At 40.1% G+C, this 22,445-nt stretch overlaps 1 protein-coding gene across 2 annotated transcripts in view, besides 1 other annotated feature; it reads left to right on the top strand.

The window, feature by feature from the left end:
* The window catches only part of KCNB2 (potassium voltage-gated channel subfamily B member 2), a 401,125-nt gene extending 381,617 nt beyond the window's left edge, over positions 1–19,508 (top strand). The window contains exons 1-2 of one of the 2 annotated variants that reach the window (XM_017013982.2): positions 15,632–15,908; positions 17,094–19,508. In XM_017013982.2, the coding sequence (XP_016869471.1) occupies positions 17,250–19,250 (2,001 nt within the window). In that variant the 5' untranslated portion in view covers positions 15,632–15,908; positions 17,094–17,249 and the 3' untranslated portion in view covers positions 19,251–19,508. Of the gene's footprint in view, positions 1–15,631; positions 15,909–17,093 lie in introns of those variants that run through there. The other variant, NM_004770.3, reaches the window with a different exon arrangement.
* Positions 6,556–7,057: an enhancer, noted in NCBI's record as "NANOG hESC enhancer chr8:73837632-73838133 (GRCh37/hg19 assembly coordinates)". NCBI's record gives its function as "activates a minimal SCP1, AML or CMV promoter by ChIP-STARR-seq in naive H9 embryonic stem cells {active_cell/tissue: H9 hESC(naive)}" and the evidence as "EXISTENCE:reporter gene assay evidence [ECO:0000049][PMID:30033119]".
* Positions 19,509–22,445: the final 2,937 nt, after the last annotated feature.

The raw sequence follows: 22,445 nt of genomic DNA on the forward strand, positions 1-22,445 counted from the left end.
TGCCCTCTGCCTGTTTTAGGAGGTCAAATTTTAGATTCCCGGCATATACAAAACTAGTCTGGCATTTAGAAAACCTAGAAGTCTAAAAGACAACACTGTGCTCAGTGACCAACTCTGCAAACAACAGCTGTGGCCACAAATAAAATACCATCTATCTGTAAGTAAATAGAATGGAAAGGGCTTTTGGGCACCCACAGGTCTTTTTCACCATATCTTCAAGCACAGCTAGCAATATTTATCAGTATTATCATCTCCAAAGGAGATATACATCTGTTTATATATGTAAATGCATGTATTTATATGCATGCGTATGTTACACCATAGCATTAAGGTGTTTCTATGAGAATTTTTCACTTCTTTACATATTTAAGCATCTTCAGCACTATACGGAGGAACAGCTCCACCTGGTTCGTGGCCGAAGTGGAGTTCCCATAGCCCTGCCCACTAAGTCTTCTCCTTCTCTCAGCAGTGGCCCCCACAAGGCACATCTAAAGAGCCCCTAGGCTCCTGAAAACCACAGAAGGAAGTGATTCTCACTATGGAGATTAAGAAAGACTTTTGGGAGGGTGGGGGTAATGGGTAGTTTTTAAACTGGGACTGATTCAAAATAGTTGTGTACCACACAGAAGATAGGCTTCTGAACAACCACTGTTTTTTCCATCATCAGAAGAGAAGATTTGTGTGGTAGCCTTCAGACATGACCTGCCACCTCCCCTTTGCAGCTGATGAATATTTGACAGGCTACAGGAAATAAGGCATGGCCACAGGCTATGATGGAGTGACCATATGTAGGTCTATCACTGACAAACTGATTGCATTCGACCAAGTGAGGATCCCTAGCTTGAAATTACAGAAATATTTTAAACTTCTACATAGGAAGTAAGAAATTTAAACATGAAAATGTTTAGGCTATATGTGAAAATTATCTGGACATTTGTCATAATATGCTCGGTGTATTTTTATCTGTAGACTAAATATCAATGGTGGTTAAATTTTGCTTTGATAATCAGATATTATTGCAGACATATGTCTTCATCTATGAAGACTATTTGTTGAATATATGCAGTAATGTTAGCCACTATTTAAAAGCACTTACGAGGTACTAGATATATTTAAGCTCTAATCTCAATGCTATCACCTCTATTACCTGAAGAGTAGATGCCTCGTAGCCAGATGAGCAATAGAATTGAGATTTGAATCCAAAATGTGACCTATAAGCTAATATTATAGTTTAAAACTATTGAGTCAATTATTTTAAAATTAATTACTTAAGTTATATATAACTTAAGTCATGTAAGATCACTAGATCTCAAGTCATGTAAGCTCAATAAACATTTACTTAATCAAAAATTGGGTCTTTTTTCTTATTTTGAGACAAATCATATAATGAAAAAAACCCACATATTTAGAAACCAATATCAATCAATAGTCTATCAATAATGTTAACTTTGCTTAAATATTGAAGGATTTCATCAGAAGTTTAAAATAATGTCCTGGCCAGGCACAGTGGCTCGTGCCTATAATCCCAGCACTTTGGGAGGTCAAGGCAGGCAAATCACTTGACCAGCCTGGGCAACATGGCAAAACCCCCTCTCCACTATATCTATCTATCTATCTATCTATCTATCTATCTATATATATATATATTAGCTGGCCATGGTGGTGTGCACCTGTAGTCCCAGCTACTCAGGATACTGAGGCTGAGGTGGGAGGATGGCTTGAGCCCAGAAGGTGGAGGTCACAGTGACCCTCGATTATGCCACCACACTCCAGCCTGGGTAACAGAGCCAGACACTGTCTCAAAATATAAAATAATAACAAAAATACTGTCCTAATGTAGCACTAAAGACCAGGTGTAATTTAATATATGGCATTTTCTTATGATGAAGATTTAAGTACTAAGTAGCTTTGCTAGTGATTAATGAAAATGTATCAACCCCCAACTTATATCCTAGGAAATATTATGAAGTAAACTACTTTATTCAAAACCCAAATAACAACAGAATACAAAAAGCAGTCAATAAAAGATCAAAAATACAAATGTTAGAGCTAAGAAAGGACCAATAGGACCGTAACACAGAAACTATAGATAAGGTATACACAGGGGTATAACAGGTAGATAAGTTGTAGAAGTCCTAAGCTAAAGTTATGTCAAAAGAGCGAGAGTTCTGTCCCTTTTTGCAGAGCGCGGAAGGTAGGCTACCTTCTCTCTTATTGAGTGAAATTATCCAAAGTTCAGCTTGAGAAACATTGGGATCATGTTACCTTCATATGAATCATCAAAGTGTAATAATTATTATAATTTAATATAATAATTACTATTATTATCATCATTTGGGGTAGGAATATGGCTTAGTATACACATGCAAACATCAACAAACATTTTACAAAACACTGTTTACCCTTTCTTATGTTTTCTATTCTACTCTCATCTGTTCTATTCTACTTTTTTTAAAAAATGCTGATTAAGACTATTAAATTGATTTATAACCCACCAATGGATTGCTACCCACAATGTGAAAAAATGCTGTTCTGATGAGCCACACATAGGTAACTGCCACCACATTTCAGCAGGACCTGCTTTTACTAGGAGCTGAATAGCAGAGAGATGAGGTATGGTACATAGTTAAACTTACTGGTGTTTCGGATGTAAACATGGGTTTATCTAGGCAACAGGATGAGGAGTCCTTAGCACCTTTAACTTACAGACTACCACTAGAGGAAGTGTTTTAAAAATTGGTTTTTAAATTTCCTAACATCAAAGAAATTTCTTGTTGCTAAACCTAACTGTTTTAATATGTTATTTTGTAGTATTTCCTTATTTATATTTCTCCCGTATTCCACTGGTGTAAGTGATTTTTACAGCTTCTGGGACCACATGTTCTAACTTGTCCTGGGCTGCGGTTTAGAATGCAGGTGTTAATTACCTATTTAACAAATCGTAACTATTTACTTCCAGCAGTAAATACAACTTAGTTTCTCCAAATTAAACTGGTTTTCCTGCTGACTAAGGTTCCAAACCCCTATGACTTTCCTCTCCTTTTCAAATGACATTAGATTTACTTTTGAAAGGAATGTATGAAATGGCTCTGTGAGTGTTCTTAGCTCTATCTCTCATTAAAGTCTGGACCTTCTCACTGAATAATATAACCTGGCCATATTCATTTCCTCAGGCTAAGAAAGGTACTCTCTCACAGTTCTGGAAGCTAGAAGTCTAAAACCAAGGTGTGGACAGGGCTGTGCTTCTTCTGAATGTGCTAGAAAAGAATCCTTCCTTGCCTTTTTTTAGATTTTGCTGGTTGCTGACAATCCTGGCTTGTAGCAATACCACTCCAATCTCTGCCTCTGTTGTTACATGGCTATCTGCCCTCTGTGGGCCTCTCTGTGTCTCTCATGGCCTTCTTATAAGGACACTGGTCATTGGATTTAGGGCCCATCCTAATTGAATATGACCTCATCATAACTAATGACATCTGCAAAGACCCCATTTCCAAATAAGATCACACTCTGAGCTTTTGGATGTACAAGAATTCTGGAGAGATGCCATTTGCCTTAGTCCATTCCTGCTGCTATAACAAAATACCTTAGACTGTGTAATTTATAAACAATGGAAATTAATTTCTCAGTTCTGAAGGCTGGAAATTCTATGATGAATACTCCAGAAGATTCAGGGTTTGGTAAGGGCTCACTTTTTGCTTCAAAGATGGAGCATCACTGATGTGTCCTCACATGGTGGAAAAGGCAGGAATGCTCTCTTCAGCCTGTCTTATGAGGGCACAAATTCCATTCATGAGTGTAGACCCTCTCTGTCTCAATCACTTCCCAAAAGGCCCCACCTCTTAGTATTATTTCATTGTGGATTAAGTGTCAACACACAAACTTTGGAGGGACATAAGCATTCAGACCATTACACTATTCAACCCAGTATCCTGATTTCCCAAAGGGATCTGTAAACCAAAAAGGATCTGAAACAGGTCTCAATCAATTTAGAAGCTTATTTTGTCAAGGTTAAGGACATGCCCATGGCACAGCCTCAGGAGGTCCTGATAATGGGTCCCAAGGTGGTTGGGCTACAGCTTGGTTTTATATGTTTTAGGGAGACATAAGACTTGAATCAAACAATATATGTAAGATGTACATTGGTTTTGTCTGGAAAGGCAGGACAACTCAGGCAGTGGGGGTTGGGGGGTGGGGGGAGCTTCCAGGTCATAGGTGGATTCAAAGATTTCCTGATTGCCAATTGGCTGAAAGAGTTTGTCCAAAAACCTGGAATCAATAAAAGGGACTGTCTGGGTTAAGATAAAGGGTTGTGGAGAGGAAGGTTTTTATTATGCAGATGAAGCCTTCAGGTAGAAGGCTTCAGAAAGAATAGATTGTGTTTCTTATCAGACTTAAAAAGTTACCTGACTCTGTTAATTCTCTCCTGGATAAGGGGGTTTGGGGGGAGACCTAGAAATGGAAAGGAATTCTCTACACAATGCAGATTTTACCCACAAAAGACGGTTTTGTAGGGCCATTTCAAAATATGCCAAAGATATATGTTTTGGGATAAAATACTTGGATTTATTTTAGGGCCTGCTATCTGTCATGTTGGTATCTTACTGCTACAGAGTCTGCTTTGTCAGTCTTAAGGTCTTTGCTTTAATGTTATATGCTGGTCAGCTGTCCCTGAATTCCAAAGGGTGGAGCACATAATAAGGCATGTCCAACCCCCACTTCCCATCATGACCTGAAATAGCTTTTCAGGTTAAATTAGAATGCCCTTAGTCAAGGAGTGGGGGTGGTCCATTCAATTGGTTGGGGGGCTTAGAATTTTATTTTTGGTTTACAGACTATACATTTGTCTGTACCAAACTTATTGAAATTAGTCAGCAACATGCACAGAAATGGGCTAACTGGCAATTACATAAGAAAGGAGGCACTAATGTCAAATAGGACGTAATAAGGATAAAGTTCTTCTACCCCTAACATTATATAGTAGTTAATAATTCTGCCCAAACTCTTTAGTTCATTTATCTTAAAAATGTAGTTAATTATCATTAAAAATTGGCATTTATACTGAAATGTCTAACTTCCAAAACATCTTCACATGCATTATATCATTTCAGCACTACACCCTACTTCTGTAAACGTAATTGTCATGACTAGCACCAGTCTATGGATGAAGAAACAGGCTCCGTGTCTTGACTCAGGTCATGCAGTTAATTCAGTAATACAGAACCAGGATGAGGGTCAAGTCATCCGACTCAAAATCCAGCATTCTTTCAACTACCAAGTTGAATTGTGTTATGTGAAAATGTTTAAAGCAATGGCTGTCAAGCACAGGCTGGGAGAGGAGGTCAGGGTGGAATTAGAGACCACGTCAGCATCATCTCCAAGGTTTTTTTCTAGCTAATTACACCCACCCATCCCAGAACCTCTACACAGTGTTGAAAAGCCCCATAGCCCATGAGAATCCACTCCTGTCCCCAGAACTGAGATCCGCTGGTTTAAACTGTATGGGAGAACCTCCAATTCTGATTTTTTTTTTAAGTGGCATGCATTTATGTCTGAGGTCAGTGCCTCTCAAATTTAAATGCACATATGAATCATTTGAGAATCTTGCTAAAATGCAGATTCTGATTCAGTGGGCCTGGGGTGGGGCCTGAGATTCTGCATTTCTAATCTGTTCCCAGGTGATGCTAAAGATTGAAGAACCACATTTTGAATGACAAGGCCTTATGCAGCCCTCATAACAGAACCCAGGAGCAGATAATAGAATGTGTCTATGTGATTGCAGAAAATGTCCGCATCAGACAGCTATAAAAAAAAGGGCCTCTCTGCCCAATAAACACCTCCTCAGTCTCTAATAAATACAGAAGTGCTTGGGCCCATTCAAATTATGAGTCCTTGGTGGTTGCTGCCCAAACAGTCTAAATAAGACTCAATGAAAGGCCCTTGTCTGTGATGCTTAGCTTCATGACAGGAAGAACACCTGTCATGCTTGCAACGGAAGATTCAGTGAGACACTACTGTTCATAGGGCCCTGGAATGCATAGCAGCCTCCCATAACAGCAGATATAAAGTGGATCACGCAAGCTCTCTGCAGTCACGGCTGGATTTGGCTCCTATCTGACTTTCCCTTGGCAGAGCCACTCCATTTCAGCATGGCCGTCCATATATTCTATTTTCTGGCATTGTGTAATGTGGTCTTAATGATGCTGACCCCAAAAGTACTTTTCAAAAGAGGTTTACTGCAGAGATTCATTAAAAGGAAAAATGATTGCATTATGGCTTTTGTTTTTTCTTTCTTTCAAGCTGCTGGGACATGGTCTTTAGATATGGGGATAATGGTGGGAATAAATCCCTGCAATTCTCTGTTAATGGTGATAGATGAGATGATGAAGCCGACTAGGTGTCCAAGGAACAAAGCCAGCTTTTAATGGCACTTTAATTCTGGAAATTTAGAAAACTTCCTTGCAGAAATTGGAAGTTGGAGTGGCAGAAAAATAATTCAACAAATGAATATGCTTTCAGGGGACAGCTAGTATAAATAGGTCCTTAAACTGGTCTTCTCCCTTTGTGATTTCAGAATGTACACTTAAGATAAAATTTTATAAAAGAAGAAAGGTCTGGTGAATAATATAGTATTTATCTCATCATTTTCTCATGTACCAATGAACTGTTGTTTAAAAGAGAAATGTTTAAACATATGGAGAGAAAGCTCAACGTCACTGATCATTAAAGAAATGCAAATCAAAACCACAATGAGATACCAAGCTGGCGAAATTGTGGAGAAAAGGGAATGCTTTCACAGTTGGTGGGCATGTAAATTAGTTCAACCATTGTGGAAGGCAGTGTGGCGATTCCTCAAAGATCTAGAGGCAGAAATACTATTTGATCCAGTAATCCCATTACTGGGTTTATACGCAAAGTAATATAAATCATTCTATTGTAAAAATACACGCACAAGTATATTCATGGCAGCACTATTCACAGTAGCAAAGACATGGAATCAACCCAAATGCCCATCAATGGTGATAGACTGGATAAAGAAAATGTGGTACATATACACCATGGAATACTATGCAGCCATAAAAAGGAACGAGATCATGTCCTTTGCAGGGACATGCATGGAGCTGGGAGCCATTATCCTCAGCAAAGTAACTTAGGAACAAAAAAACAAACACCACATGTTCTTACTTATGAGTAGGAGCTGAACGATGAGAACACATGGACACATTGTGGGGAACAACACACCCTGGGGCCTGTCAGGGCTGGGGGTTGGGGGAGGGAGAGCATCAGGAAGAATAGCTAAGGGATGCTGGGCTCAATACCTAGGTGATGGGTTGATCTGTGCAGCAAACCACGTTTACCTATGTAACAAATCTGCACATCCTGCACATGTACCCAACAACTTAAAATAAATGTTGAAGGAAAAAGAGAAAGAAATGTTTAAGAGAAATTTCATAACCTAAAGTTCTTATTAGAATACTCTTTAACATGAGGAAATATTTTTTCCAGAACACATAAACTTTATTTATCTTGTTCTCAACTTATAAAATCTAGTTAAAATGTGTTCACATGTATTATTTTCATTTTATCATTTCTTTTTTTTATATCCAACTTTTATTTTAAGTTCAGGGATACATGTGTAGGATATGCATGTTTGTTCCATAGGTAAACGTGTGCCATGGTGGTTTGCTGCACAGATCATCCCATGACTTAGATATTAAGCCCAGCACCCATTAGCTTTTCTTAACATAAATAAATATTATTTGGAAAGATAAATGATGATTTAAGTCAAGGATCACTCTCTTTCTACATCTGTAAGATAATAGTGGAGATTTGTTGGAGCTACTCAATCTTCCTGGTAAATTTTATCATAAACTTGGGAAGTCCTAGATCCTTCTATCTCCATAGCAAGCAGGGTCGAGATTCTACTTCATATATATTTGAATAATGTATCCCCTTCTTTCCCTTTGCTGCTGCCATGGCATTAAAAATGTATTGTCTTATCTTCAGCTGCACCCTGCGCCCCCCATCAGTCCTATGCATTACAGTCAGTAATCTTTGTGAAATGCAAATCTGAGCATAGCTTTGCCTTGCCTGAATTCCTCGAATGGCTTTTACTCCTTACGGCAGCATCCTCAAGCTTTGGCAAGCATCAGAATCACCTGGAGAACTTGTTAAAACACAGATTGCTGGGACTTTCCTTGGAGTTTCTGATCCAGGAGGCATGGAGTGGGGCCGGAGAATTAGCCTTTCCAGCAAGTTACCACATAAAGCCAGTGCTGCTGGAGTGATGTGGTTGTTCTGGGGACAACACCTTGAGGAAAACTGGTCTATAGAAGGAAGCGCGTCAAACTCTTCATCACTACACCGAGTACCCTTCAGAATTTATCTATCATCCAACTCTCCAGAAGTGTCTCACCCCCACTCTTTTCTTTCTTTTTTTTTTTTCTTTTGAGATGGAATCTTTCTGTGTTGCTCAGGCTGGAGTGCAGTGGTGCGATCTTGGCTCACTACAACCTGCACCTCCCAGGTTCAAGCAATTCTCCTGCCTCAGCCTCCTGAGTAGTTGGGATTACAGGCACATGCCACAATGCCTGGCTAATTTTTGTATGTTTAGTAGAGACAGGGTTTCACTGTGTTGGTCAGGCTGGTCTTGAACTCCTGACCACAGATGACCCACCGGACTTGGTCTCCCAAAGTGCGGGGATTACAGGCATGAGCCACTGCACCGACCCCCAACTCTTTTCTGTGCCTCTGCCTGCATTCAACCACACTACACTACTCAATTCTCTGAAATCAAGGCTCTCGCAATTGGTTGTGCAAGTTGTGCACTGCACAAAACATAGAGGCATCATTCACGTTATAGTCTCTTGATGGGTTCTTTCTGGAATTGACCAGTTTACAGCCTATACCCTTATATGCAGCAGTCCTGAAATAATCACAAACCCCTATGTGTCATGCCTCTTTATGGATGCCCCCAGCCACACAAAAGTACTTGGAATTTTCTGAGCAAACCATCATCTTTTGGGCTTCAAAGCCTTTGCCCACCATTTTCCTCAGTCTGTAATGCCCTTTATCCCTTTTCTGTGTAGAAACCTCCATGAATCCTTTAAGGCCTCCCTCTCAAAAAAGATTTATGATTAGCATTATCCTGAGACCAAATAAAACATTTTTCCAACAGGAAAAAGAAGAGTGTTATAGAATCTGAATAGAGCCATAAATACTCTGGTGTAAAAATTCAAAACATTCCAAGTATTCAAAATCTGTTTTTTCTCCCTCAAGTTTTCATGAATTATCTTTTCAAAGAGCTAAAAACTGATAAGGAGAAAAGTGAGGACTTCTTTCCACTTTCTTTCTTTTTTTTTTTTTTTTTTTGAGACAGAGTCTTCTTCTGTCACCCAGGCTGGAGTATGGTGACGCAATCTCGGCTCACTGCAATCTCCATCTCCTGGGTTCAAGTGATTCTCATGCTTCAGTCACCCAAGTAGCTGCGACTACAGGCACACGTAACCACACCTGACTAATTTATTTTTATTTTTTGGTAGAGACAAGATTTCACCATGTTGGCCAGGCTGGTCTCGAACTCCTCACCTCAAGTGATCCGTGCGCCTTGGCCTCCCAAAGTGCTGGGGTTACAGGCATGAGCCACCTCCACTTTCCTATTTTGTTCTAGATCTCCACATATCTAAGATGTTGTATGTATGTGTATGTGGTAGTTTAACAAATTATGTTTGCAAATATACATTTATTAAATGGAATATACAGCATTCTTAAGTTTACATTTTTATGACCTTTTATTACTTTCCTGTGGGGCTTTACTTTCAATTACATGGAACACACACACAGACACACACACACACACACACACACACACACACAGTTTTATAAAAAACATATTTTAAGACATGAGACAGGTCAAGTTCACCTGGAGAAACCTCAGTTTAACTCTTTAATAAACATTGGCAAACTAGATAGTTCAGTCCTAAGGAAAAAAAGATTCAATTGTCTAGGTTTGTCATGTAAACCATTGCTTAAGTGAATGTGTTTGAAAGTGTTAAAAATGAGCATTAAATAGTTCTGGAATTGTATTTAACTGGGAGATAAACAGTTTTTTTTTTATTGTTTCCCAATGCTGGCTAAAGGCATTTTCCAAACACATCTCCAGCATTTCTTACACTTATCACATTCTGCACTTGGCAGGATGCTTTCATGTGCATGATCCAGTATGAGCCTTAATAACCCTCTGAGGCAGCCGAGGCAAGCATGAGGCACCTCATTTTGCAGATGAGAGAACTGAAGCTCACAGAGGGACCGGGCTTGTGCATGCAGCAAGCGGAGGTAGAACCATGTGTTTGAATTGCTGATCCTGTGCTTCTTTCCACCACAAAACGTCCATTATCTTCAAAGGACTAAAATCAACAAGCTGGTTCAATTGAGGCAAGTCTCCGGCTGCTTTACTTCCTCCCACAAACAGAAATCAATACAACCAATGTTGGTCCCTACTAATGCGAGTGCTGGGAGCCCTCTTCTGAACTCCCTGTGATCCTGCGTATGTCTGTGTCTAAGTGAAGAAATAACGTAATCATCCAGGTGATTCAAGGGAGAAAAAAGGTTGTATCCAGAAAGAATGTCTATTCCCAGTAACTAAATGCCTAGAACATACGCAGCGCAATATTTTTCAGTCTTCTCTTTTGAATGTTTTACTCATTATGTAACAAAAATTTACTTTGGACGTTCAACTAAAATGACATCATCAACTGTGACTTGTCCTGGGTTTGGTTGACAGACATGACTGGAATTAGTAAAATGTTTTAGTTTAGACAGAGAATCACCAAATGTTAGAGGTTAAGTGACCTTGCAGATGACCTAATCCAAATTTCCGAAGGGTTTAACCAACATCACGCAGTTAATTGTTTGGAATCTTCACTTCCCTGGCCGTATACACACATAATTGTTTTTTTTATTTCTTTTTTTATTATTATACTTTAAGTTCTAGGGTACAGGTGCACAAAGTGCAGCTTTGTTACATATGTATACATATGCCATGTTGGTGTGCTGCACCCATTAACTCGTCATTTACATTAGGTATATCTCCTAATGGTATCCCTCCCCCCTCCCCCCACCCCACAACAGGCCCCAGTGTGTGATATCCCCCTTCCTGTGTCCCTGTGTTCTCATTGTTCAATTCCCACCTATGAGTGAAAACATGCAATGTTTGGTTTTTTGTCCTTACAATAGTTTGCTGAGAATGATCGTTTCCAGCTTCTTTCATGTCCCTACAAAGGACATGAACTCATCATTTTTTATGGCTGCATAGTATTCCATGGTGTATATGTGCCACATTTTCTTAATCTAGTCTATCATTGTTGGACATTTGGGTTGGTTCCAGGTCTTTGCTGTTGTGAATAGTGCCACAATAAACATACGTGTGCATGTGTCTTTATAGCAGCATGATTTATAGTCCTTTGGGTATATACCCAGTAATGGGATGGCTGGGTCAAATGGTATTTCTAGTTCTAGATCCCTGAGGAATCACCACACTGACTTCCACAATGGTTGAACCAGTTTACAGTCCCACCAACAGTGTAAAAGTGTTCCTGTTTCTCCACATCCTCTCCAGCACCTGTTTCCTGACTTTTTAATGATCGCCATTCTAACTGGTGTGAGATGGTATTTCATTGTGGTTTTGATTTGCATTTCTCTGATGGCCAGTGATGATGAGCATTTTTTCATGTGTCTGTTGGCTGCATAAATGTCTTCTTTTGAGAAGTGTCTGTTCATATCCTTCACCCATTTGTTGATGGGGTTGTTTGTTTTTTTCTTGTAAATTTGTTTGAGTTCATTGTAGATTCTGGATATTAGCCCTTTGTCAGATGAGTAGATTGCAAAAATTTTCTCTCATTCTGTAGGTTGCCTGTTCACTCTGACGGTAGTTTCTTTTGCTGTGCAGAAGCTCTTTAGTTTAATTAGATCCCATTTGTCAATTTTGGTTTTTGTTGCCATTGCTTTTGGTGTTTTAGACATGAAGTCCTTGCCCATGCCTATGTCCTGAATGGTATTGCCTAGGTTTTCTTCTAGGGTTTTTATGGTTTTAGGTCTAACATTTAAGTCTTTAATCCATCTTGAATTAACTTTTGTATAAGGTGTAAGGAAGGGATCCAGTTTCAGCTTTCTACTAATGGCTAGCCAGTTTTCCCAGCACCATTTGTTAAATAGGGAATCCTTTCCGCATTTCTTGTTTTTGTCAGGTTTGTCAAAGATCAGATAGTTGTAGATGTGTGGTATTATTTCTGAGGGCTCTGTTCTGTTCCATTGATCTATATCTCTGTTTTGGTACCAGTACCATGCTGTTTTGGTTACTGTAGTCTTGTAGTATAGTTTGAAGTCAGGTAGCATGATGCCTCAAGCTTTGTTCTTTTGGCTTAGGATTGACTTGGCAATGGGGGCTCTTTTTTGGTTCCATATGAACTTTAAGGTAGTTTTTTCCAATTCTGTGAAGAAAGTCATTGGTAGCTTGATGGGGATGGCATTGAGTCTATAAATTACCTTGGGCAGTATGGCCATTTTCACGATATTGATTCTTCCTATCCATGAGCATGGAATGTTCTTCCATTTGTTTGTGTCCTCTTTTATTTTATTGAGCAGTGGTTTGTAGTTCTCCTTGAAGACGTCCTTCACATCCCTTGTAAGTTGGATTCCTAGGTATTTTATTTTCTTTGAAGCAGTTGTGAATGGGAGTTCACTCATGATTTGGCTCTCTGTTTGTCTGTTATTGGTGTATAAGAATGCTTGTGATTTTTGCACATAATTCTGTTTGCTAGAGCTGAAATAGTTCACTCCTGCCAGCTCTGGAGGTCAGTTGTTGGAGGTGAAAGGGATTAAAAACCTGAGGCAGGTGGGGCATGGTGACTTATGCCTGTAATCCCACCACTTTGAGAGGCCAAGGTGGGTGAATCAACTTGAGGCCCGGCATTTGAGACCAGCCTGGCCAACGTGGTGAAACGCTGTCGCTACTAAAAATACAAAAATTAGCTGGGCATGGTGGTGCACACCTGTATTCCCAGCTACTTGGGAGGCTGAGGCACAAGAATCGCTTATGTCTGGGAGGTGGAGGTTGCAGTGAGCCAAGATCGTGCCACTGCACTCCAGCCTGGGCAACGGAGCCAGACACTGTCTCAAAAACAAACAAACAAAAAAAACTCCTGAGACAGTGAGATTCTAACCTGTGAATGGTTGTGGTAAGTAAAGCAATACCTAAGTGTTCCCGGACCAAACCAAGGGTGAGGCTGCTTATTCTCATGGCCCAATAATGAAATGCAGAGGAACTGGGAAAGGAGAGAGTTTATTTCTGTAACCAGGTACAGGGAGAAGGCCTGGAAATTATCCCCAGAGCAACTCAAAATTACAAAGTTTTCCAGAGCTTATATACCTTCTAAGCTATATGTCTACGTGTAAGTGTGCATTCATCTAAAGACATAAGTGATTAACTTCTTTTAATCTATAACAAAGGCCTGAGTCCTGAAGACCTTCCTCTGGAGCCTCAGTAAATTTACCTAATCTAAATGGGTCCAGGTGCTGGGGTGGTTACCCTTGTCTCCTGCTAAATCACTGAAGTTTGGGGAGTTCCTTCAGACCCCCAGAAAACTTGTTTGTGAAGACCTGGGGAGTTTCCTAAGACCCCCTATAAAACTTGTTTAATCCTAAACAGGTCCTGTTAAGAATTCCTTCATTATCTTGTCAGCTTCAAGGCCCAGGAAAGGCCTGGGCAAAACTCTTGGTGGGCTTTTGTTGCAGTCCAACCTTTATATAAGGGCATTGGCTTTTTCAGCTTTTAGTATATAAGTTAACCACTCAGTCAGTGCTGAAACAATGGTTGTGGAGGCCTGCGTTAGTGAGACCTGGCTTGCCACATAAGTGCCATAAGAGCTTGCTATAAAGTAAATATTCATGTTTTGAAGTGCATCCTCAAGCTTAAAGCAAAATTTCACATTTATTATATTTATTGTGTTAAAAAAAACTCTACAATAAGACAATAAACTTGCATTTGGCTCATTGCACCACACATCACCTTGGTATTTATTGAATCATTTATCTAAAGTGCTGTCTTTCTGGGAGAACTCCAAGCTTCACAAGATGTTTAAAATAAGTCCTTCCTCTAAATTGAGAGCAAATGGGTTTTGACAAATTGAATTTCAACATGAGAAAGATAATAATGCACTTCAGTACCTATGGTTTTCTTTAACGTGAATATGGAATGGCTTAAGGGCTTGAATGATTAGTTTTTCCTTTAGTAACTATTTGTCTTCAAGAATGTGTCCTAAATCCTGTTCTGCATATGCTAAATTTCCAAGTGTTAAAGTGGTCATATTTGTTAAGCTGTGGTCAACTAGACAATAGACTACAGCAAGACTCTATTGTGTTTCATCATCATTTCCCAAAATTAGCTGCAGAAGTAAAGTGACCTACAGTCTAGCTCTAATTGTGGAATGAAGGACTGAAGGCCCCCTTGGACCTTTCACTTTATCCTTTGCCAAAAGGTGGAAGGCAATAGAATGGATTCATTTGCATTTCTACTTCTCTCCTCTCTTTGAAGTGATAAACACATGTCAGTAAAATGCATTCAAAATTAACAAATGAACAGATTAGATATAGAAAATCTAGAGTATGGATTGTCAGTACAAGAAGAATGGCAGTAATCCCAATACTTAAAATGCCCAAAGATGTATTAGCAACAGCGTGACCTCCCGAAAAAATATCTTGGTTCCTTATGATAAGAGCATAGGAACGGATGGGATCTGACCATTGATTTTTCAGGAATATTTTCCTGGCAGAATATTGTACATGTTACCCTGCCATTGGCTTCTGATGGTAGGGATTCAAGGTGAGCATTCCCAACTTGCCTTTAAAACCATCTGAATCTATTAGCCAGGGATTTATCTAAATCTTCTCAAGGGAGTTTCTAACTTTAGCCTTCACAGCCTCTTAGAGGAGTTAAAGAGGACCTTTATTTTTCTATTGTGATACACTGATCCATATTTTTAAAGAAAATTCTGAAGTACTCTCAAAAAGATAGAAAGTATTTAACCTAGTTCTAAGAAAAAGTATAAAACACTAATAATAAAACACTGCACTTTAAGTTAAAGGTCCATAAATCTTTATTTACTCTACAACACATTCTGAAATGCATTATACTGTTGTTTCACTTTATAGCAATTTAAGGAGGAAAGATGGAAGCTGGAAGAAGAGGAAGAAGAAAACAATGAAAGATATAAAGGGGCCAGGCACAGTGGCTCCCAGCACTTTGGGAGGCCGAAGCAGGTGGATCACAAGACCAGCCTGGGCAGCAGGGCGAAACCCCGTATCTACTAAAAATACAAAAAAAATTAGCTGAGCATGGTGGTGCATACCTGTAGTCCCAGCTACTCAGGTGGCTGAGGTCAAGGCCAGAGGATCACTTGAGCCTGGGAGGCAGAGGTTGCAGTGAGCTAGTGAGCTGAGATTGCACCACTGCACTCCAGCCTGGATGACAGAACAAAACCTTTCCCCCTTCACCCCCCGCAAAAAAAAAAAAAAAAAAAAGTAAAGGAGACATAAGAGGAGAAAGGAGGAAGTGAAAGGAGAATAACCCAGAAGTGGAGAAATTTAGAGAGATTAAAAAGAAGAAAATGCAGGGAGGAAGAAGTAAGAAGTCCTGATGTAAACTAATTTTTTAACAATCTAATGTGTACTGAGTTGTGTGGTATCAAAATGTCTAATCACTGCCCTTTGAAATGTTTACTAGATGCTCAATCTCTAAATGAAGCTGTCACTTCAGAATATTTTTCTCAGTGCTACATATGATAACTGAAACCAATGACACCTCCCACCAAGGTCACTGGCAAAGGTCAGATGAAACCAAGCCAGACCTAACCTAGGTAAGAGAGGTTTCCTTCTCCACCAAGAATTGAGTATACTAAATACACAATTTAAGCAAAGAAGCACTTCCTTTGCCTTACCCTCAAATCTGCATCCTTCTGCTTGCCCCATAAATCTAGAACACTGGGATTTGGTTAGAAAATCCCCACTTGGGCTATCTATGTCCTATATGGCTTTACAGATATTCCACATACCTGTCCTTGGCCTTTGTCCTTCCAGACTGCAGTTCTGGGTCATTTCATTTATTTAGTGATGTCTGTGTACCATGTAATTTTTATAACAGCTGCGAAGTAGCTATGATTGTTGCCTTTATTCAACAGATCTGTACTTTGAGACAGAAAGGTTAAATAACTTGCCCAAGGTCACCCAATAAGTGGTAAAGCCAGGGTCAGAGCTCAGACTGCCTGACTCTAAAACCCAGTCACTAGTCCTCTCCTTACTTCATTCTAAGCTGTTCCTCTTTCCTTCCGTGTCTGACATCATGCCACCTGGAATGTCAGCCCTGCACTGAAATCATCATGGTTGTTCTTCAAACTCTTCTTTATGAAACCTTCCTGCACTCTTTGAAGTTAGCATATAATCTTCCTTTTCCACATGATGCTGGCCAGAAGTCCACACATCTGAGGACAAAGGCCATACTAACTTGGTTCTGATGTCAGTGCTTGCCACATGAATATTACCTGTTCTTAGAAGAAGCATTGTTGTACTGAGTGCCATGTTCTCTCTCCAGGTGTCGGTCTGAGTTTATATTTTTAATTGTAGAATGAAATTCCTGGCGATCACCAATTCTGTCTAGCTTACATGGCATGTAAGACAATTCCTTTAACAAAACACAAACCAGGTGGTTAAGAGAGAAAAATACAGATAACTAAGAGAGGAGAGATAATTACTCCCCCCAAAAACTATTCCAGCCATATGTGGCCCTCATCCAAATGTTGGATGCCCATACATGTTCCTAAGAACAATGAGTGCGGAAGGGGGGAATGGAATTTAAATATACATTAGGCTTCTAAATGAAGTATTTGTGTTAGTTAGGGAATTTTAAGTTGTAAAATTACCTTCTTATAATCTTCTTGGAAGAACTTGGAGCATTCCATATTAGTTAAACAATCACCGACCCATCTGTCTCCTAGCTGCCTAAGCAACTAAGAGGATTTGCTGACTTGGACTTTTCTCTTTTCCAGATCCTGGCCATCGTGTCTATCCTGTTCATTGTGCTTTCCACCATTGCTTTGTCTCTCAATACGCTGCCGGAGCTGCAGGAAACGGACGAATTTGGACAACTCAATGACAACCGCCAATTAGCACACGTGGAGGCTGTGTGTATTGCATGGTTTACCATGGAGTACCTTTTGCGATTCTTATCCTCACCAAATAAATGGAAGTTCTTCAAAGGCCCACTGAATGTCATTGATTTGCTGGCCATCTTGCCGTACTATGTCACCATTTTTCTGACGGAGTCCAACAAGAGCGTGCTGCAGTTCCAAAACGTGAGGCGCGTGGTCCAGATCTTCCGAATCATGCGCATCCTCAGGATCCTGAAACTCGCCAGGCATTCGACAGGCCTGCAGTCTCTGGGTTTCACCCTTAGGCGGAGTTACAATGAATTGGGCTTGTTGATATTGTTTCTGGCCATGGGGATAATGATATTTTCCAGCCTGGTATTTTTTGCTGAGAAGGATGAAGATGCTACCAAGTTCACCAGTATCCCTGCATCATTTTGGTGGGCCACCATCACCATGACCACTGTTGGCTATGGTGACATTTACCCTAAAACATTACTAGGGAAAATTGTGGGAGGTCTGTGCTGTATTGCTGGGGTTCTGGTTATTGCCCTTCCTATCCCAATTATTGTGAACAATTTTTCTGAGTTTTACAAGGAGCAGAAACGCCAAGAGAAAGCAATTAAAAGGAGGGAGGCTCTTGAGCGGGCCAAAAGGAACGGAAGCATCGTTTCTATGAACTTAAAAGATGCCTTCGCTCGAAGTATGGAACTGATAGATGTGGCTGTTGAGAAGGCCGGAGAGTCCGCCAACACAAAGGACTCCGCCGACGATAATCACCTGTCGCCAAGCCGGTGGAAGTGGGCCAGGAAGGCTCTGTCGGAAACAAGCTCCAACAAGTCTTTCGAGAATAAGTACCAGGAGGTTAGCCAAAAAGACTCCCACGAGCAGCTGAACAACACGTCTTCCTCCAGCCCACAGCATCTGAGTGCCCAGAAACTGGAGATGCTATACAATGAAATCACCAAGACACAGCCTCATTCTCACCCAAACCCAGACTGCCAAGAAAAGCCTGAGAGGCCATCTGCATATGAAGAAGAGATTGAAATGGAAGAAGTGGTGTGTCCACAGGAGCAGCTGGCCGTGGCACAGACCGAGGTCATTGTGGACATGAAGAGCACCTCCAGCATCGACAGCTTCACCAGCTGTGCCACCGACTTCACAGAGACAGAGAGATCGCCGCTGCCGCCGCCCTCCGCCTCTCACTTGCAGATGAAGTTCCCAACCGACCTCCCAGGGACAGAAGAGCACCAAAGAGCTAGGGGCCCCCCGTTTCTAACTCTATCCAGAGAGAAAGGACCTGCTGCCAGGGATGGCACGCTGGAGTATGCCCCAGTTGACATAACTGTGAACCTCGATGCCAGTGGCTCCCAGTGTGGGCTACATAGTCCTTTGCAGTCTGACAATGCCACCGACAGTCCTAAGAGCTCTCTAAAAGGCAGCAACCCACTAAAGTCCAGATCCCTCAAAGTGAACTTTAAGGAAAATAGAGGCAGTGCACCACAGACCCCGCCCAGCACAGCCAGGCCACTGCCAGTCACCACAGCTGACTTTTCGCTCACTACCCCGCAGCACATCAGTACCATCCTCTTAGAAGAAACCCCCTCCCAGGGAGACAGACCCTTGCTGGGCACTGAGGTTTCAGCGCCTTGTCAGGGACCTTCCAAAGGGCTGTCCCCCAGGTTTCCCAAGCAGAAACTGTTCCCTTTCTCTTCAAGAGAGAGGAGGAGCTTCACTGAAATAGATACTGGTGACGACGAAGACTTCTTAGAGCTCCCAGGGGCAAGGGAGGAGAAGCAGGTGGACTCCAGCCCAAATTGCTTTGCAGATAAGCCTAGTGATGGGAGAGACCCTTTAAGAGAAGAGGGCAGTGTGGGCTCTTCCTCCCCGCAGGACACAGGTCACAACTGTAGGCAAGACATTTACCATGCTGTGAGTGAAGTCAAAAAGGACAGTAGTCAAGAAGGGTGCAAGATGGAAAATCACTTGTTTGCCCCAGAAATTCATTCCAACCCAGGAGACACAGGTTATTGTCCCACACGTGAAACCAGCATGTGACTAGTTACAAAAGCAATAAATTGAAACAAAACAAAACAAAACAAAACTTGTTTCTTAAAAATGCGGTTAATAATGCCTGTGAACTAAAAAAATGGGAAGCCCTCCCCAAAAAAAGTGCATAAAATGTTATTTTTGCATGGCATGAACAGTTTAGCTTAAGTACTGTTTAAATAATGAGTCAAGACTGCATTTTGTAACAAACCAACAAAAATGACTGAAGAACAGTGAACAAATAAAAAGAGCTCTATTAGGAACCAATATTCTGCAATGTCTGACATTTTTGATCCTTTCATTTCAAATTGTAGGCCGATTTTCAAGTCTTAACGTTTATTTTACAATGAAGCTTAGAATTTTCACATGAAAGGATGAAATGTCATTGCATGCATTCATAATTATGAAGAATAAGGTACTGTGAGCTTGCAAAATGCATAACTTTGTAAATAATGGGGCCTGGATGCAAAAGTGTCATGAACACATGGAAACAAATTTCTGAGACACAGGTATTTCCTTCACAGCTACTGCCTGGAGGAGCTGTACAGACTTCCTGTTGCAAAATTGCAACCTCTCCTTAAACCATCTCGCATATCTTGCTTTGAGTTATAAAGCTCTTAAAAGTACATTTGTTTAAAGGAATACAGTATTTTTTATTTATTTGTGATATAATTCATAGGCTGCATTTTACTTTTTTGCTTCTGCTTAGTTGTGGCATTTGTGGTTCATTTATAAATCATAGACATAGGCAAGATTTAATGACCAGATATCAAAATATTTGAAATTTTGCCAATAAGTTATATGTCATGCCACAGCCGATTACAGAAATGCATTTTTTAAAAACCTGAAATTATTTAAAAGGTTGTATCATACAATTAAATGTTTTTAAGGCAGTCTACATTTGGAAATTAGTTCTGTTAAAAAATTTGGCCACCTAAAGATGACTGTATTTTCCACTTGTATCCAACATAACATAACCTTTCCTAACTAAAGTTCTAAAAATAGAATACAGATATGCCAAAATGGAAATTCCAAAAAGTGACTTGACAAACTAAAAGCAGAGTCATTTAAGTGAGATTGCCGCTGCCACTCATAGAGTTGGCTGGGAGATGAGTTACTATGAAAAGAGCCCAGGCGTGGTAATGGGTCACCCTATATTTCTCAACATGGGATGCGAGGTGGGGGGACACTGCAATGTGTGGGAGGAAGTTGTTCTTTTTGCAGGATATGAATTACAGAACCCAGAGCACAGATGGCAGTCACACCCTCCTGTAATTACAGCAACTAGAAACACCCCCTTGCATTTCCAACCTTTTCAGGGGGTGGTTGGGACTCTGTTTGTTCAAAATGACTTTCAGCATTTTTGACTAGGAGCGGTGAAATCCAGAGCAGTGAAGACACTGACCAGAGATTGCCCTGTTGGTGAAGTCTGTGCTAGAACCCAGGTCATCTTAATTCACTTTGCTTCACAGGAATCAAGGCTCTGGTCCAAATTTGCAACCACCAGATGTGGGATTCTAGGCAAGCCTGTACAACCTTTCTTGATCTCAGTTTTGCTCCAGTAAAAATCAAGACAAAATTATTTCCAAGGTCCCATAAGACTTTAATATGATTCCTTGGTCTCCCAGGAAGGTCCAGATTTTGCCTCAGCCTGATGCACTTTGTACACGTCTGTGTGTGTGTGTGTGTTTGTGTGTGTGTGTGTGTGTGTGTGTAAAATTCAGGGAAACAGGAAGATGCTGGGCCAAATTTAAAGCACAATTCATGTTTAAATTAAAAAATTCTGAATTTTATTTTATTTTTAAAAGGAAAAAATAGCCCAAATATTTAGACTGTTATTTAAGTCTTTAAAGAAAAACATTTCTTTATTAACAGAATCTGGTCATTATATCTCAGATAAGAAAACAGGTTTTGATTTTAGTTGAAACACAAGCAGACCTACTGCTAAAAATAATTTTAAACATTTCTTTTTTCACTGTGCTTAGAATTTCTTACTGGTTTTCATGTTTGTTTCAAAACATAACCTTAAAGAGTTTATGGTCACTAATCGTTGATATTTACATTACTCATACTTATTTCAGTGTCTAAAGCTAAATATTGATCAGTTTTGTAAATAGAGTGTTTGAATTTTCTGTCTATAGTTTTTCAAGGTCAAACAGGTATATCTGCTGTTAGATGCATAGCAAATAATTTATGAAAATCATTTTATTTACATAGCCTCATAAAGCAATTATTTTCGAACATCTCTTATTGATGAATCTCAACTCTTTTTATTCATCTTTCTGTATAAGTGGACTTGTCTTAATGCGCTAAGAGTTGACTGATGCCCACCTTTCCTATGTCTGTTAGGCCTTCTGCTGACAACACTGCTCCAGAATGTTTAATATTAGAAAGCTTGCCTAGTCGAAGAATCCTAGACATTCCTCCCTAGAAGCATCCTCCCCAAAATCTTTTTTCCCTTCATTCTAAGGTACATTTTTAAGTTTTAGAGAATTTTCTAGTACAACGCATGGAAGCTTATCCTTCCATTTTCCTTAGTTCCTCTGAGCCAAAAGTCTTCAGCTAGGAAAAAAAGAAAATGCTCCTCTAAGAAACATCTTTGACTTTGGTGTTTCACAAGGAGGCAGTGTGGGGACTGAAGGCTCCCAGGATGCACTTGTGTAGCACTTCCTAAGCCTTTTCCATGAACTGCACCTAACGCAGAGAATAAACATGTGTGCCTGGAATGGTCTGGGAATGTCCCAAGCACAGAGTTCTTTTGGAGTCTTATGTTTTACACAAAAAATTCATGTAAATGCTGCATTTTACTTCATAATTTTATATATTCCATATGTTTAAATATTTTAAAAATAATGTTTTATATTATTTACCAACTAGTAAAATGGATACTTGTGTAACTTTAAATACGTCTTTTGTATCCCCTGGAAAAATAGATCCCCAGTTTGAGATGCACTGCATGAATGGCAGGAACAGAGATTGGTTCCCTGAGGGCCACTGGAGGTTTCTGCTGCTGAGAGCACTCACCCCGTGTTACAAGTGAGGATTATTTGAATGACTACAAAATAACTCAGTTCCATGTATGGCTAATTTGATTCTTCTGACTCTCTTAACAACCAGCACAAATTGCCACAATATTGTTTGAGGTCAAAGATTGAGTCCAATCCTATGAGGATAGAAATGGGTGCATCAATGTGTGTCCTGAGT

This window comes from Homo sapiens, chromosome 8 (genome assembly GCF_000001405.40).
Source record: "Homo sapiens chromosome 8, GRCh38.p14 Primary Assembly".
Lineage (NCBI taxonomy): Eukaryota > Metazoa > Chordata > Mammalia > Primates > Hominidae > Homo > Homo sapiens.